The 19,507-nt window shown below is 39.3% G+C and overlaps 2 annotated features.

Moving 5' to 3' along the window:
• Positions 5,130-5,631: an enhancer, noted in NCBI's record as "H3K4me1 hESC enhancer chr2:126179643-126180144 (GRCh37/hg19 assembly coordinates)". NCBI's record gives its function as "activates a minimal SCP1, AML or CMV promoter by ChIP-STARR-seq in naive H9 embryonic stem cells {active_cell/tissue: H9 hESC(naive)}" and the evidence as "EXISTENCE:reporter gene assay evidence [ECO:0000049][PMID:30033119]".
• Positions 5,632-6,131: an enhancer, noted in NCBI's record as "H3K4me1 hESC enhancer chr2:126180145-126180644 (GRCh37/hg19 assembly coordinates)". NCBI's record gives its function as "activates a minimal SCP1, AML or CMV promoter by ChIP-STARR-seq in naive H9 embryonic stem cells {active_cell/tissue: H9 hESC(naive)}" and the evidence as "EXISTENCE:reporter gene assay evidence [ECO:0000049][PMID:30033119]".

Consider the following 19,507-nt stretch of genomic DNA (forward strand, 5'->3'; position numbering starts at 1 on the left):
TGCTGCCTCAGCCTCCCAAGTAGCTGGGACTACAGGCACATGCCACCATGCCTGGCTAATATTTGTACTTTCAGTAGAGACTTGGTTCCATCATATTGTCCAGGCTGGTCTTGAACTCCTGCCCTCAAGTGATCCGCTGCCTTGGCCTCCCAAAGTGTTGGGATTACAGGCATGAGCCACTGCACCCAGCCAGAAAGAGATTTTTGACAAATATTTTTTAAAGGCATGTTTATTTAAAAATTACTACTTTCTTAATCCAGTCTATCATTGTCGGACATTTGGGTTGGTTCCAAGTCTTTGCTATTGTGAATAATGCCGCAATAAACATACGTGTGCATGTGTCTTTATAGCAGCATGATTTATAGTCATTTGGGTATATACCCAGTAATGGGATGGCTGGGTCAAATGGTATTTCTAGTTCTAGATCCCTGAGGAATCGCCACACTGACTTCCACAATGGTTGAACTAGTTGACAGTCCCACCAACAGTGTAAAAGTGTTCCTATTTCTCCACATCCTCTCCAGCACCTGTTGTTTCCTGACTTTTTAATGATTGCCATTCTAACTGGTGTGAGATGGTATCTCATAGTGGTTTTGATTTGCATTTCTCTGATGGCCAGTGATGATGAGCATTTTTTCATGTGTTTTTTGGCTGCATAAATGTCTTCTTTTGAGAAGTGTCTGTTCATGTCCTTTGCCCACTTTTTGATGGGGTTGTTTGTTTTTTCTTGTAAATTTGTTTGAGTTCATTGTAGATTCTGGATATTAGCCCTTTGTCAGATGAGTAGGTTGCGAAAATTTTCTCCCATTTTGTAGGTTGCCTGTTCACTCTGATGGTAGTTTCTTTTGCTGTGCAGAAGCTCTTTAGTTTAATTAGATCCCATTTGTCAATTTTGTCTTTTGTTGCCATTGCTTTTGGTGTTTTGGACATGAAGTCCTTGCCCATGCCTATGTCCTGAATGGTAATGCCTAGGTTTTCTTCTAGGGTTTTTATGGTTTTAGGTCTAACGTTTAAATCTTTAATCCATCTTGAATTGATTTTTGTATAAGGTGTAAGGAAGGGATCCAGTTTCAGCTTTCTACATATGGCTAGCCAGTTTTCCCAGCACCATTTATTAAATAGGGAATCCTTTCCCCATTGCTTGTTTTTCTCAGGTTTGTCAAAGATCAGATAGTTGTAGGTATGCAGCGTAGAAAATGTGGCACATATACACCATGGAATACTATGCAACCATAAAAAATGATGAGTTCATGTCCTTTGTAGGGACATGGATGAAATTGGAAATCATCATTCTCAGCAAACTATCGCAAGAACAAAAAACCAAACACCGCATATTCTCACTCATAGGTGGGAATTGAACAATGAGATCACATGGACACAGGAAGGGGAATATCACACTCTGGGGACTGTGGTGGGGTGGGGGGAGGGGGGAAGGATAGCATTGGGAGATATACCTAATGCAAGATGACGAGTTAGTGGGTGCAGTGCACCAGCATGGCACATGTATACATATGTAACTAACCTGCACAATGTGCACATGTACCCTAAAACTTAAAGTATAATAAAACAAAAATAAATAAATAAATAAATAAATAAATAAATAAATAATTACTACTTTGAAGACTGATACGTTAAATGTAAAGAAAGAGTGGCCTAAGAATATTATGCTAAGTTAAATAAGCCAGTCACACACACAGACACACACACACACACACACACACCCCACTGCATGACTCCACCTTTATAAAGTAATAAAACTCATAAAAAGAAGAATGATAGTTGCCAGGGACTGGGGGAGGGGAAGGGGAAGTTTTTCTGAGTGTAGAGTTTCAGTCAAGTAGTATGAAAGTTCTGGGGATCTGTTGTACAATAACATGCATGTGGTTGACAATATTGTGCTGGGAACTTGGAAATTTGTTAAAAGGGTAATTTTCTGTGTTTGCTACAGCTTAAAAGAAAAAGAGAGAGAGACACACACACTATGATAACACTAATCAAAAGAAAACTAATGTAGTTATACTAACTTCATATGAAATAGCCTTCAGAATAAGGAAGATTACTAGAGATAAAGAGTAGTAGCATTACATAATGATAAAAAAGTTATTTCTCCAAAAAGACATTGACAAACCCCAAACATTCTATACACCTTGCAGTAGGATGTCAAAAACACATGAGACAAAAACTGGCAGAACTGAAAGGAGATATAGACAAATCCACTACTATAGTTGAAGACATCAACACTCCTCTGCCAGTAATTGACAGATCAAGCAGGCAGAAAATTAGTAAGGATATAAATGGTATGAACAACACCATAAATCAACTAGGTATAATTGACATCTATAGAATACTCCAAAACCAGCAGAATGCGCATTCTTCTCAAGCTCACATACAACATTCATCAAGATAGACCACATTTTGGGCTACAAAACACACGTTAACAAATATAAAATGATGGAAATTACGTAAAGTATGTTCTCAAAACACTAAGGAATTAAACTAGAAGTTAATAAGAGAAAAATAGCTGGAAAATCCCAACTATTTAGAAATTAAATGACATATTTTAAAATAACTCATTTGTCAAGACTCTCAGGTGAAATTTAAGCAGCATTTTAAACTAAATGAAAATAAAATACCACTTATCAAAATGTATGCTATGTACCAAAGTCAGTGCCTAGAGGGAAATTTATAGCACTAAGTGCACACATTAGAAAATAAGGAAGATCTAAAGTCAATATTACAAACTTTCACCTTAGGAAACTAAAGAAGGGAGAGTTAGTTAAACCTATTGCCAGGAGGATAAAAAGAATAAAAATATTAAAGCAGAAATCAATGAAATTGAAAACAGGAAAACAATAGAGAAAATTAATAAAGCACATACTAATTATTTGAAAAAATTAATCAATTGATAAACTTCTAGCCAGTCTATCCAAAATAAAAAGAGAAAAAGAGAGAAAAGAAAAAATGACGTGGCCAGTTGACATTAAACAGATTTTGTCATGAGCAACACAAAAATGGCACACTGGGCTTATGAACTGAGAAGCCACAATGGTAGAGTCATAGGCTCTGCGTGGGCCCAACAATATGTACTACCAACCACCAAGGCCCTTGTAGTTGCTGCCAACACTGAATGACCTGGATGACTAGTTGATGGGTGCAGCAAACCACCATGGCACATGTATACCTCCCAGCAACAAGGTTTGATACTGAAAACTCAATACACCACCATTTTTGGGGGAGATCAAACAACTACTTGGTAGTAAATTTATTTCAATGGAACTCTTCAGTCCTTTTCAGGAACAGACAAATTCTTGGTATGGATTGCCTTTATAACCTATAGAACCTCGATAAATATGATAATCTGGAGCTTACAAAATTCTTGATTCACAGGCATTAAGTTCCTTGCAACATAGCTTCTGACCAGGACATACATTTTACAGTGAAGGAGCTGCAGAAGTGGGCCTATAACCATAGGTTCCACTGGTTATGTTGCATAATGTATCATGCAAAACCATCCTAATAGAGTGTTAGACTGGCCTCTGGAAGCCTCAGCTGAAGGAGCAACTCAGAGACAATACTCAGTAATAATGTGATTTTGGAGGACTCAGTATACTTACTGAATAAGAAATTTCTATATGGCATTGTTGTCCAGTACAAAGAATGCATATGTCTAGGAATCAGGTGGCTAGAAATACCACTTATCACTCTCAGTGACCCAATGAGAGACTTTTCCTTCCCATCTGAACAACTGTGGCCACTGCAAAGTTAGGAGCCCTGGTCCCCAAAGGGAGTACATTCATGCCTGGGGACACAGAGAAGGTTTCAAGGGCAGCCATCAAGGCACTATTAACTCCTTGTGTGCAAGGACCAGCAGGCAAGAAATGGAGTCACCATCATGGAGGATATACGGTTGCTGTTATACAATGGGGGCAGGAGGAGTATGTATGAAATTCTGGCCATGAACTTGATTTACTTTTACTACTAGATTGCCCAACTGTGAACTAAACAAGTGCTGCAACCATGGCCTGAGAGGACATGGTTAGCAGGGGCTAGGACTCTTTAACAATGAGGGTATGAGTAACAGCATAAGGGAAGCCTCTGAGGCCAGCAGAGAAAATATGTGAGGGTCAGGAGGATGTAGAATGAAGCATACAGAAGGGAGTGGCAAGAACCAATCAGTGCCTTGTGACCAATGGCAGTATTAGAAATGTTTATCCTAAAACCTGGATGATTAGTTGATGGGTGCAGCAAACCACCATAGCACATGTATACCTATGTAAAAAACCTGCATGTTCTGCACATGTATCTCAGAACTTAAAAAAAAAAAAAAGGTGGGATCAGTATGGTCAGATCTTGAGTTTTTCAAAATAAACAGTAACCACGGCTCATATATAAAAATCTCCCAATTGTTAAATGTTGGCAACAAATTCATATACCTTAAAACATTTTTTGGTAGAAAAAAATACAACTTTGGGACTAACTTGAATCCTGGGCTGCCTGATTGTCATTCTCTTTTAAATTTTCATTAGGGTTTCACTTTAATTCAGTGTTCCAACTTCATGGTACCAGTGAAAAGTATAATGTCTACAATCCAGTACAATATACTTGGCTGATAGGAGTGGAAAATGATTTTGCTGTTAATGTAAATGTGGCATTAAGGATTGTATTTTTGACTTTGAGAAAAAAAAATGTTCATCCTACTAACTTTTGTCTTCAAGTCCTCCTCTGAAGGAAAGGCCTACTGTGAAGCTGGGGAAACTGCCCACCAAACATGTTTGGGGACGTGGATTCTCACAGTGTGAGAGTACACCCTGTCAGTCAAGGGAGTCTTTTGTTAGTCTCTTCCTCAAGGTAGAGACTGTTATGCCACAGGATATGCTTCAACATTCAATCTGGTGCCACACTACCTGGGAAGTCCTTAAACAATGAGAGTGTGAAAGTAGCAGGGCTTGGCCATTTCTGTCCTAGGTAGGACACTTTTCAGACACAGTGTGCTTCTACTACCAATTTCTACTTTCCCTATCCTCCTGTCCTTCACAGACATCAGATCAACATCGAATTTTTAAAGTTTTCTCAGACCAACTTTTATCTTTCACTGATAAGTCTCTTGCATTCTTAACTTTATCTTAGTTAGAGGTGACAGCGTGCTGGCAGTCCTCAGAGCCCTCGCTTGCTCTCGGCACCTCCTCTGCCTGGGCTCCCACTTTGGCGGCATTTGAGGAGCACTTCAGCCCACCACTGCACTGTGGGAGCCCCTTTCTGGGCTGGCCAAGGCTGGAGCCCACTCCCTCAGCTTGCAGGGAGGTGCGGAAGGAGAGGCGCGAGCGGGACCCGGGGCTGCGTGCAGCGCTTGCGGGCCAGCTGGAGTTCTGGGTGGGTGTGAGCTTGGCGGGCCCCGCACACTCAGAGCAGCCGGCCAGCCCTGCTGGCCCCGGGCAATGAGGGACTTAGCACCCGGGCCAGTGGCTGCGGAGGGTATACTGGGTCCCCCAGCAGTGCCAGCCCGCCGGCGCTGTGCTCGATTTCTCACCGAGCCTTAGCTGCCTTCCCGCGGGGCAGGGCTCGGGACCTGCAGCCCGCCATGCCTGAGCCTCCCACCCACTCCATGGGCTCCTGTGCGGCCCCAGCCTTCCCGACGAGCACCACCCCCTGCTCCACAGCGCCCAGTCCCATCGACCACCCAAGGGCTGAGGAGTGCAAGCGCACGGCGCGGGACTAGCAGGCAGCTCCACCTGCAGCCCCAGTGTGGGATCCACTAGGTGAAGCCAGCTGGGCTCCTGAGTCTGGTGGGGATGTGGAGAGTCTTTATGTCTAGCCCAGGGATTGTAAATACACCAATCAGCACCCTGTGTTTAGCTCAAGGTTTGTGAGTGCACCAATCGACACTCTGTATCTATCTGCTCTGATAGGGCCTTGGAGAACCTTTATGTCTAGCTCAGGGATTGTAAATACACCAATTGGCACTCTGTATCTAGCTCAAAGTTTGTAAACACACCAGTCAGCACCCTGTGTTTAGCTCAAGGTTTGTGCGTGCACCAATCGACACTCTGTATCTAGCTGCTCTGGTGGGGCCTTGGAGAACCTTTATGTCTAGCTCAGGGATTGTAAATACACCAATCGGCACTCTGTATCTAGCTCAAGGTTTGTAAACACACCAATCAGCACCCTGTGTTTAGCACAAGGTTTGTGAGTGCACCAATCGACACTCTGTATCTAGCTGCTCTGGTGGGGCCTTGGAGAACCTGTGTGTCAAAACTCTGTATCTAACTAATCTGATGGGGACGTGGAGAACCTTTGTATCTAGCTCAGGGATTGTAAACGCACCAATCAGCACCCTGTCAAAACAGGCCACTCGGCTCTACCAATCAGCAGGATGTGGGTGGGGCCAGATAAGAGAATAAAAGCAGGCTGCCCCAGCCAGCAGTGGCAACCTGCTCGGGTCCTCTTCCACAGTGTGGAAGCTTTGTTTTTTTGCTCTTTGCAATAAATCTTGCTACTGCTCACTCTGGGTCCACGCTGCTTTTATGAGCTGTAACACTCACTGCGAAGATCTGCAGCTTCACTCCTGAGCCCAGCGAGACCACGAGCCCACCGGGAGGAACAAACAACTCCAGACGCTCTGCCTTAAGAGCTGTAACACTCACCGCGAAGGTCTGCAGCTTCACTCCTGAGCCAGCGAGACCACGAACCCACCAGAAGGAAAAAACTCTGAACACATCTGAACATCAGAAGGAACAAACTCCAGACGCGCCACCTTAAGAGCTGTAACACTCACCGCGAGGGTCCGCGGCTTCATTCTTGAAGTCAGTGAGATCAAGAACCCACCAATTCCGGACACATTAGCAGCTTTTTTCGCAGGAGATTCAAACTGGCATAACCTTTAAAACAAGTATCAATAAAACTACTAAAAAAGATCAGTAATGAACAAAAACTCTTCCTGCCCATATAAATGGCCTTCGCCTTTTTCACAACCTTTTCTTCTGAGGGGAAAAAAAAGTGAAAATAAGAAAGGAGAAATAAAATTATTTATTTAAGTGGATAAATCTGATTCATCTAACCCTGTAATAGGAAGGATTTTAACAAGGCATGAGGGAACACGATCTACTGGATACTTCACAGTCTTATTTTTCAAAGACTTAATTTCTTTCTGTCACTGTCAGTTTTCATTGAACAACGCATGATAATTTTCTTTGGCAATTACTCCCTGCCTTGCAAATAGCACTGTTATAAAATGAAATAAAAACGTAAGCTTTAAATATTTCTTGAATACCGTAAGTTCTATTAAAATGTAAAATTTTGAGTGGTATCATACTAATTTTTATTTACAGCATTGTCATTGTCAGTATTCCCCCATGTAACTATTATGAGTTGGGTGCCTTGTGTTTCTGTGAAAAGTATTTGGTCACGTGAATAGAGCCCAGGGGAGCAGCACAGGCAGAAACTGATTAGAACTCAGTCATTTGGAAGGATAGCTGTTATTTTCCTCCACTGCTTTGCTTTATCCCCTCACTGCTTGCCCAATTCCTTGTTCAGTACAGTGGTATTGCTTCTGTGACCTCAAAGCTACATCTGAATGGGAAATTCAGCTGGGGAGGACCTGGACCTGAAACCATCCTGCTGGGTAGGGCTAGATCACAAATTAATTGTACTCCAGTGAGTAGTGTGTCTGGGGAGTCAATTTCCCAGCCATCTGAATTAAGGATTAGTCACCAGGCTGGCTGAGACTTGGCATCCAGTCTCTGCTATGGCATTTCATTTTTCTCCTATTCTATCAATTTAAAGCCAATCAAACCCTGAGGTTAAATTTATCATTTTTCATCTCAGAGTACACACTCCTTGAATTTTTACTGTGAAGTTTATATGCCTTTATACAGTTCACAGGTCTATTTCTGTAGGTTTTTCTTGCCTCTGTGATTCACCCCATTACTGCTAATATTTCTGTCCCCAAAGAAAAATATAGGAGTTCTGAATAAAAAAATCCCTCTGGTTGCATTTATAGCTTTCAAATAAACACATCTGTTAAGACCTTCCTCATGTTTTTTTTTAATTTATAAATATAATCTATTATTTTCTGGGTTTTTCTCTCCACAGCTGCTATCTTCACTTTTCTTCTAGAATATATATTTTATTATAGCCATATTTCTTTGACCACTTTAAGTTCCTCCTACCTTAGAAATAAAATTTTTCATTGAGATGCCCATCAGATAAAATATTTCTCACCAGACATATATTTACACAGAATGCATTAGAAAAGTAAATTCGTGTCATATTGTGGACCAGAAGAGATGCTAGCAGCAGTAAATCCATGTCAAGAAGACTGCAGGTTTTGTTTTGTTAAATGGTAAAATATATGATAGGGTATCTCTTTCTTATAAGTTTGTGGATATCCTTAAGTAATCCAAAATTATTCCCTAAGGCAATATGCCATATGCAAAAGCAATCAAAAGCCTTTGGTTGGCATCTCCTTTTCATGCCCCTTTAAATGAAGATGCTTGGTGGGAACACATAAAAACTATCTGTAGCCAGCTGTTATTCATCATGGCACTGTTTTTCTGGTCCTTTTGCTCTCCTGCTTTTTCTGACAATCTTTTAAACATAAACTATCAAACATTTTTAAACTACATAAACTTCCTAGTTCTGAGTTTAAATAGATAATAATTGCTTTCATTACATCTTTATGTTACAGTATAACTCCAAGGCTATGGTCTTTTTTAGAGTAATGTAAAAGTTAACAGTAAGTTATGACAGTAAGCTATTGCTTGTTTGTAAATTATTGTCAATTGAACATAATTTTATTTAAAGCCTCAAACATTGAATTTCTTTCTTCTTCATACAGTGTTTTGTTTTGAACCATTTTTGTCGTATAACTTTGATGTTTAAAACAAGTCTCTGAGTTTACTGGTTGCTGGGATAGAGCTGCAACATTCTTCAGCTTTTCTCCATGATTGCTTTTGGATTTTTCTCACCTTCTGTACACACCCTCTCAGGTCTCCATGCCTATAAGGAGAGTGGGGAACTTTGGGTGTTCATCAACACAAGGTTAAGCTGGGAACTCATTAACAATCTATATTGGAATGCAATGGGAATAGTCATAGCCTAAACAATTACCGATTATAAAAATTAGAGAAATTGGCCAGGTATGGTGGCTCCTGCCAGTAATCCCAGCACTTTGGGAGGCCGATGCGGGCGGATCACCTGAGATTGGGAGTTCGAGACCCATCTGACCAACATGGAGAAACCCCATCTCTACTAAACATACAAAATTAGCCGGCCATGGTGGCGCATGCCTGTAATCCCAGCTACTCTGGAGGCTGGGGCAGGAGAATCATTTGAACCTGGGAGGTGGAGGTTGAGGTTAGCTGAGATCAGGCCATTGCACTCCAGCCTAGGCAACAAGAGCAAAGCTCTGTCTCAAAAATACAAACAAACAAAAAAAATATTTGAGAAATCTACCTACTATGTGATTTAATAAAATGAATGGTGGTCTGCTCAGACAATCCATATGTGCCTTTTTAGATTCACATTTATAGATTATGTTTTTAAAGGGAAACACATGGTAAAGATAATGGTATTTCAGTTTCTGGGGGTTTAGCCATCTGTTCAGAAAGCCGTGACTGCCGTAGACAAATATTTCTTCTGTTTTTCATAAACAAATTCTCAATTTGTGGAGATAAATCTCAAACCAAAGGGTTTGACAATGACCTGTACCAGACAACATGGTCAAGTAAAAACATCACATTAGGTCAGACATACATTATATTATTGTCTCCAACAGCTGTGTGATCCTGAACAAAAAGCCGATTTCATAAACACTCAGTTTTTGGATCCAAAGAATATTGTGTGGACCAGAGCTTAAATGTGTGGCAGTTTGTGGTTTCCATCTTAACCAACAGGTTCTTCCATGTAGAGAATCTCTACAAAATAGTATTAATTCCTGTAAACAGATATGCAATAGCCAAAGATAGAGTTCATACTCCCAAGCTTGCATCCCCAATGTAGTGAGCTCCAAACCATTCACTTCTCAATCCAGTCTCTGTATATACATATGGAGTCCTGTCTGGAATGGGGATCCCCAATTCTTAATAACAATTCTTCCTGAATGATAAAATTTGGAGACTATGCATTTTTCCAGTTTATTACTTGAATTTTCTTGTTTTGGTTTTGTTAATAATTTTTTTTCTTTAAAAAGCCAAAATGAAGGGGAAAAAAATCCTGCAGGTCTCTTAAGGATTTTATTATTTTTGTTTCTGGCTTTTTAAAAAGACGTCACCTGTCAGCTGATTTGAGAGCAGAATTCCACAGAATTCCACATATTTCCTCATCAATCACCGTTATAAGACAGTAAAAAATCCTAAAAATTTGTTGTGGTCTTTAGTGAATGAATTATTCCCATGTGTATTGGATTGATGCTAATTCACTGCAAATATTAGATCATGTAATGCTATATCTCTACTCTCCCATGGTGGACTTCACATATTAAGTGTATACAATGTTTGAATCCATCTTAGCCAGAGCTTCATGTATTGACCACAAAACCACCACAGTTGGCAATCAAGGTAAAGCCTACTTACTAACAGATATCCATAAATTCTCTACCACAACCCACATCATGGCACAGAAGACCTCCATGATCTGACCCCTGTATGCTTCTCTACCTTCATCTCCAAAGATTGCTTCCATTTTAGATTTGCCTGAAAACTTTAATATGTTTCTTTCTCATGCTGCACCACTGAACATGCTATTTCCTCTCTGTGGTATATTCTTCTGGTAACTTTTACCCAACAAATTAATGCATATGCATCCCTTATTTAAGTTCAACTGTTCATATAGCCATTGTCACTTTGCAGACAGAATTAAGCCCTTGCTTCTTGGTTCTCCATAGTGCTGTACTCATGCCTCTATTTTAGCATCTATCTCTTGGTTGTACTACTGTTTGTTTCCTGCCTCAGACTTCCTGCTTCCAGACCTACAGGGAACAGCTGTAGGTTGAGGTTTCTAGCTCTTAGCAAAATGCCTGGAACCAAGTATAAAAAATGAATCACTAGAAAAATAAATCAATGAACTTTACTCTCTCAAACTTAAATTTTAAAAAATCCTAAAAAATAATAAAGTATTCTAATTAAAGCTATGAGTCAGAATAAGCCACATACTATGGTGGAAACAAAGAATCTTGAAGTCTTTAAAGCTTTACTTTTCACTCACACAAAATCAGTTGTATGTAGTAACAGCTGTCCAGGTCAAAGGTCTTCTTGGCAATTCGGGCAGAAGACAGCTCCATCACTCTGTGGCTTCACCATCTGGAGCCCATAGCCTCCTCAGTGGACATGACAAGAAGAAAGAGAAGAGAAGGGTCTCAGATGGTCTATGGAATACTTGAGGCCAAAAATGGTACAGAATGTGCGCATTCATTCCTCATAAGCCGGAATTAGTCATGTGGTTACACCTATCTTGAGAGAGGGAAAGTGTAATATTTCCCTTGACCAGAAGGAGAAGATAACCCATGAGGGCAAGTGCTCCTAGTTTTAATCATAGATACAGATACAAAACACGTGTGATACTCTTAATTTGTTGTATGGAATATAGGTAAGAGTATAAACAGGAAACAAACAACTGTGAATCCATTGTGGACAAATAAAATCTGCCCTTGTGGGATCCCAACTGTATTATGAAAAGAGACAGAGCTATCTTTGGATCTTGTAAAATAGTAGAATACCCAGATTTTCACAGAAAAAAAAAAGAAATACAGCTACTGCATATGACAATGATTTATGGAGGTGACTTAGCTTAGTGAACAGGTGAGTGAATAAGAAATTATAACTATCTTCACATTACTAATGCTGTTTCAGATGAGTGGACATGTTGCAGCAGAAAGGACTAAGAATAGGCTGTGCGAAGAAGTTCCTAATTTTTGCAAGTGTTACAGAATGTCCTAAAAAGGAAACATATGAAACCTATTTAGCGGTTCATCAATTTTTCTGCTTCAGATTTAGTGTAGTATTGTAGAAAGAATACAGAAACAAATCTTCAAAGTTCTAGATATGGTTCTATCAGAAAACGTCTGAGTCATTTTTTATAAGTTATCCGAGCACTCCATCTCAATTTTTTATTCTGTAAGATGAAGGAAAATCAAAGACATAAGGTCTCAGATCTCTGTCAACTTCAAATATCTATACTTTTTGTAAATAACTTATTTATTCATATATTCATCTATAAAGATTTGGCACATGTACACCAGAACTTAAAGTATAATAAAAATAGATAGATAGATAGATAGATAGATAGATAGATAGATAGATAGATAAAAATATTTGGTGCAAAAACTAGTTTAAAATTCTTAAGAAAATCACTTCTTAGTGTTCCTCCAAAGCCACCTTCCACCTTCCTCCTCATTTCCACAAGGTTTCCGGCTGCCTTTCTCGTGGTACACCTTCTTCCTGTGAAAGGGGATTACTAGGTGTTGAACACTTGTTGAAATCATTAGCCCTAATTGAAACATTATTCTTGAAACAATCAGAATAAATAAAAGGACACTGAAATAGGAAGAGATTAAAAGTGTGCAGCTGCGAGCATGAAATACTTATCGGTAGGGTCTTCCAGAGTTACCGCCACTGAATGAAAGAGGTTTCCTTTAGTCATGCCTTGAGAATACAAACTTCAAGTGTTTAAAATATAAATAATTTAACTCTGATTTTACACAAGTTTTCAAAATCCCAAGATGGTTTATTTCATAAAGGTCTTTTGAAAACCGAGAAATAATTACAATTTTTATTCATACCTTTCAGTAGACTATGGTAATATCATTTATGAAGCCGTGATTTGACATGTTTATGTTGTCATATAAACGTACAGAGGTTTTTCTGCTTTCTCTCTCTAATCTATAGGCTTTTCTTTATCATATATATTGTCCCCTGGAAAGAATACATGCTTCTCAAAAATCCCAAAATCCAAAAAAAAAAAAAAATGAATGGAAAGTGTGTTGTCCCCTAAGGTCCAGAATTTGTCTGAATGGCTTTGCCTCATGCAGACTTGCATGTTGGAACCGGCACTTATGGCTTTTGGAGGCAAATCTTAAAGTGAGGAACAGCCAAAGGGACCTTTAACAACCAATTAGTGGAAACCAGCAGGCCAGGATGGAGCCAAGAGGAAGGTGACACAGGCGCTCCTGGGGACATGGGAATGAACATCTAGCCTTCCCTCTGACTGTATCTTAGTCAGATCTGGCTGCCATAACTACTGACTGCCATCCCACACACTGGGTCACTTAAAACAACAAGCATTCATTTCTCAATGTTCTGAAGGCTGGACAGTCCTAGATCAAGCTGTCTGCAGATTTCATTCTTGGTGAAGGCCTCATTACTGGCTTACAGAGGGATGCCTTCTTGCTGCATCTTCACATAGTAGAGAGAGATCATCTCCTTTATGTCTCCACTTTTAAGGAGTGAATCCCACTTATGAGGCCTCCACCCTCATGTCCTAGTCACCTCCCAAAGGCCCCATCTCTTCATACAGTAATACCATCACTGTATTTGTCAGGGTTCTCCAGAGAGTCAGAACCAGTAGAATATATAAATGTCCAAGAGTAGGTGTATTATGGGAATTGGCTCATGTGATTACAGAGGCTGAGAAGTACCATGATATGGTGTCTACAAGCCGGAACCAGAAAAGCCAGTGGGCAATTCAGTTCAAGTCCAAAAGCCTAATGGTGGAGCACGGAGCACTGCAGAGTCCTAAGACCCCAAACCCAGAAGCTCCAATGTCTGAGAGCAGGAGATGGATGCCTTAGCTCAAGAAGAGAGAGAAAGTCCATCTGTGTGCTTTTTGTTCTATTTGGCCCTCACAGGGATGACACCTGTCCACATTGGTGAGAGTTTTCTTTTCTCAGTATACTGGTTCAAATGCTAGTCTCGTCCTGAAACACCCTCACAGGGTGAATGAATCCAGGACTGAAGAGGATAGTTTGGAAGGAGTTAAGAGGCAACTAGGACTCCATTGCCTAGTAGAACACCCAAAATCATGGTTTACCAGCTAATTGTCCATTCCATAGCCAAATCAAGTTGGTACAAAATTTACCATCACTATCACATCAGAGATGGGGGGGCTCAACACACAGTCTTAGAGAGACATAAACTTTCAGTCCATAGCATTATGGCTTTCCACAGAAATGCTCTCTTCCCTCTCAGACAAGACAGAGATGCAAAGTATCAAGCCAAATGGCTCCTTCAGAGGCTTTCAATTTTTTATGCCCTATGCTTTAAGAGTCACTTTCACCTTGTTTTTGTGTTCTATTACACAGTTCTATAGTCTATTCAGTAGGTTGACTATAGCAAATAACAATGTAGTGTCTATTTCAAGATAGTTAGAAGATTTTGAATATTGTCACTGCAAACAGGATAAATGTTTAAAGTGATAGACATGGTAATTATCCTGAGTTGATCATTATACAATGCCTCAAAACATCCCATTGTACCACATAAATATCCACAATTGTGTCAGTTATCACTTTTTTTTAATAATAAGTGAAATAATCACTTTCTCCTCTTTCTAGGTTCTGTTGTCCCACTGCTCAGAGCTTACTGTGTTGAGAAATAGTTCATGAGCTGGAAAAAGTCACCCAATGTTTAGCCCTCTAAGGATGTTATAGACGAGAGAGTCATATAGCAGCATGAGAAAAAATCTTTGTGAAAATAAAATAGGGCTTGGATACATGCCTTTCAATAGCAGTTGTAGAATTTTGAGTAGCTAATTTTTCTGAGGCCCCTTTGCTCATTTTGCAAAATTATAATAAGGATGTGTTGTTTCTGCTTTGATGTGACTGTGCCTAGCTTTGAGATGACAGGTCCTAATGATAGCCTTACCAGTAAGCATGGAACCTATTCTTCCCAGGGAAATATAAGGTGACTCTGCTGATGAGCTCTGAGAAAAGATTGTACTCCTTTACTTAAAAGGTACCTGGAATGACCTTCCCTCATGCGAAGCTATGATGAGGCAACATGAAGCAGGTGGTGGCAGCAGCCGCCATGTGGACGTAAGACAACCAGACAAGAAACAAGAAAAGGGCATCCTCTGGGTGACTGAGCAGAAAGGTGGCGGCACCTGGGTCCTATGACATTGATCAGTTTCTGAGATGCTCCTGGGAAGGCTAACTTCAGAACATTTTTAAGTACTCAAAGAGTGTTTTAAGTGGCAGTTAACTAATATGCTGTTCCTTCTTGTTAAGTGTATCCTTATTAATGAACCTACTCCTCTCAGTTTTTACTCCATACTCAGTCTGTCAGTGGCATGGATAGTCATGCTTATCTGTGGAGCCTGGAGTCCTTAAGATCAAAGAAGCAATTTTTCTTCCAACCTTTTTTTTGTGTTTTGTTTTGTTTTGTTTTGTTTTGTTTAGGAGGGATGCAGTGTATCTGTGACCAGAATAGCTCTTTGATTTTTTTTTCTCTTTTCCAGAAGACACGGGACTATTTATTTCCACCTTCCTTCTCTGATACGTGATTATTCAAATTCAATGGAGAGTCTGTACTGTATTTTATTAGGTCACAAATCAAAACTTACCACTAACAAAGCTATCATCTCCACAGGTGATTTTTCAAAACTCCTTATATATCTTCATCTAATTATTAGGCTAAGTAATATCAGTCAATTTCTAACACAGATGGTGGTATAAGAGCAACAAATTCCATCTGGACAAACCAGATGGGCAAATGGGAGTAAAGCTATACAGACAGAAATTATGGGCTTCAGAAAAAATTCTGACTCTTTAAAATGTATTTTGTTTCTTAATGACAGCCTAGCCACTTATCAATGATGATATCTGCCTTCTAATATAAGAACATTATAGTAGGAAAACCCAGTTCTTGCCACTTGTTTGCAATTTTAGAGTTGTAAAAATTAAAACTTTCTTTTAGAACAATACTGATATAAGTTTGGGGTTTAGATATCTATATAAATTAGAAGTAAAGATATTCATTTAAATTTAGGAGTGTAAATATGTCATTTGAGAAATATAGATAAATTAGATCCGCTGATACCTACATAAGTTTAAGAGTGTTGATATATATTTAAATTAGGCATTTGCTATTTAGACAAGTTTAGGAGTGTAAATATTTATATAAGTTTAGGGTTGTGGATATCTATATAAGTTAGAGGTGTAAATAGCTACATAAGTTAGGGTGTAAATATCTATATAAGTTGGAGGTATAGATATCCGTATAAGCTTCGGGACACAAAAAACTACGTAAGTTAGGAAAATAGATATTTATATAACTGTTGAGGTGTAGATATCTATGTAAGCATAGAGTTGTAGATATATATAGAAGTCTGTGACTATAGATATATATTTAAATTAGAGCATAAACATCTATTTAAGCCCTGGTGGAGGCTGTGAGGCTCTGAGTTTTTATAGTGAAGGTCATATATATATTTTGAAGATGAGGAGACATTTGGGTGATGCTATCAGAGACAGAAGATACAGAATGCCCAATTAGGAGGAACTCACAGAATTCATTTACCTTCTTAGAAGGCGGTGGATTAACATGAAAAAAGAGTCAGTCTAAAGGGTAGAACGAAAGGCATTCTTACCAAAAATCTGAACTATTATTCCAGGTAGTGTTGCTTTATTTAATTTCCTCATCTACAAGATTATAATAAATTTTATACTAATTGAGTTAAATTCTATTAGGCCTCTAGGGGAAACTTAAACCAATTAGTATCACAACAGTAAGAGGCATTGGGTGGGTTGTTCTTCTGGTGGGCTGAGGAGAAAAGGACACAAACACTGAATACCTTCTACATGTCACCGTGGTAAATGCAATATCCCTAAATATCCCTAAAAGCAGTACTTTACTTATCTGCACAATAACGAGACACTGTAGATGTTAATTTACCCATTCTGCAAATGTGAAACTGAGTCACAGAGATTAAGTAACCAATCATAGCTTACATAGCTAAGTGAAAAGGGCAGATAGATAAAACCAGCCAAGCTGCCTTCAGTTCCTAAGTTTAAGTGTTATATTTCAAAATCTGCTCAGCAATGTGCTTGTTACCATGAAAAGCTGTTTAAATAGAGTCTTGATCACATTGTACTATTTTATGTTGCTGAATACCCCTACTTAGGGCCAACTTTCCAGATGTTCTAACACACAGGTTAAACTTTTTGGACCTGCCTTCTCCTGTGATTTCTCCCCATTTGCTTGATATGTGGCTCTAGAGTCCACCTGAAGAGGTTCAATAGACCTGCAATGCTCACACTCATAAACCCCAACAGGACTCCATGGCCTAGTAAAACAAGCTCTCACTTTCCTATGGCTCTGTCTACCTGCTCTTCGTAATTTACTACAGTGTACCATCTTATCAAAGCTCAAACAACATTCTTCACAAAGCAATGCTTAAAGCTGTATTATTGCTTAGGGAATGCAATAAAATCTACCAGGAATGTTTGTTAATATGACAATGCCATGGGGATAAGTAACATATTTTATCTAATCAATAAGAAATCAGAGGCTGGGTGCAGTGGCTCATGCCTATAATCCCAGAACTATGAGAGTACCAGGAGGGAGGATCACTTGAGGCCAGGTGTTCAAGACCAGGCCTAGCAAGATAGTAAAACCCCATCTCTACAAAAAGTAAATGGATAAATGAAAATGAGCCAGGCATCCTTGCATGCACCTATAATCTCAGTTACTTGAGAGACTGAGGCAGGAGAATTGCTTGAGCTCAGGAGTTCAAGGTTACAATGAGCAATGATTGTGCCACTCTACTCAAGCCTGGACAACAGAGTAACACCCTGTATCAATAAAATTTTTTTAAAAAAGGAAAGAAAAAAATCAGATATGTTTTTTAATTAAATAATTGGTTTAAATTTGACTGGCTTAAAAACAAGAAGAAAAAAGTAATCGATTTACATAAACAGCCTTTTATCATTCTTCAAATACTATTAAACTGTCCTCTCTCTTCCAAACTTCATTTTAGCCCTTAGGCTTTCTTACTTTGTTTTTTATTTATTTATTTATTTATTTATTTATTTATTTATTTATTTTTGAGACAGAGTCTCACTCTGTCGCCCAGGCTGGAGTGCAGTGGTGTGATCTCGGCTCACTGCAACCTCCGCCTCCTGGGTTCAAGCGATTCTCCTGCCTCAGCCTCCTGAGTAGCTGGGACTACAGCCACACTCCAACACGCCCTGCTAATTTTTGAATTTTTAGTAGAGACGTGGTTTCACCATGCTGGCTAAGATGGTCTCGAACTCCTGACTTCGTGATCCATCCACCTCGGCCTCCCAAAGTGCTGGGATTACAGGCATGAGCCACCACACCCGGCCTTTAAAAATTTTTTTAAGATAAATCCCTTGCTTCAATTTTTGCCCCTTTATTCCTTCCAAACTATCCTCTTCATAGTGTGAGAGATTTTTGAGAGGCAAATATGATATATTAGATCCTTGAATCTTGAATATTCTTGAGTAATCTTGAATATACTTTTGATTCCCTACCAATTCAAATTGGCATTAGACCTTTAAGAAGCTTCCCTGAAGAATTTCTTCCCATTGTCCTCAAAACATTATACTCTGCACTAGCTATATTTAATCACTACAAACTCTCAAGCTTCTTGCACTTGCATGTCATTAACCCACCCAATTTGGACACTCTTCTCTTTGTTTCCTATGGGAACAATTCTTGCCCATGTCTCAACACATAGCTCAACTGTCATGATAAAACCTCCTGACACCCAAATCCTTGGTTAAGGGTCTTTGCTCTGTGTACCAGGGGACCTTTGCTTGGGTTTTTCTAGGACTGACATTCAACTACTCACCCTAAGTTATGCTGATTTAAAAACTGTTGAAAGACTCCTGTACCAGCTGATAAATGACCTCCTGTACCAGCTGATAAATAGCTGTTGTACCAAACCCTGAAAGTGCCCTGTCATGGCCACACAGGCTCCCCAGGCCATGCTCTACGATACACCATAGCTCCCTTAAATCCAGAAAATGAGTAAGACTGACATGACTTCGCTCCAGTGTTACAACTGCTGAGCATTTGTATGGTCAGTACCTGCACCACGTAATCAATTATTTTAACTATCACCCCGCCTCTATCATAGCATTAGGATAGTTCACTATAAGAGCTGACATATTTGTCTATCTTCCCATAGTAGCTGTTTGCCTCGAGAAAAAGAGACCTGTTATATACATCAGTTTATGACAAGCATCTGCAGACATGCTTAGCTAAATATAGGTAGTTGATGAATGTTTCATGAATGAATGAATGAATGAAATTATATATAGCACAGTCTTCAATATGCTGGCTATACTCAAAAATGCTTCACCAAAATGCAATCATATGAAGCTTTATGGAACAGAGATAATGCATTTCCTAAAACAAACATCCAACTCACTTAAACATTTTTATTCTGATAGATATGTGTGTGTGTGTGTGTGTGTGTGTGTGTGTGTGTATATATATATATCTGTGATATATATCAAAAAATGTGATGTGTATATATATGAATTTTTAATTAG

This window comes from Homo sapiens, chromosome 2, assembly GCF_000001405.40.
Source record: "Homo sapiens chromosome 2, GRCh38.p14 Primary Assembly".
NCBI classification, from domain to species: domain Eukaryota; kingdom Metazoa; phylum Chordata; class Mammalia; order Primates; family Hominidae; genus Homo; species Homo sapiens.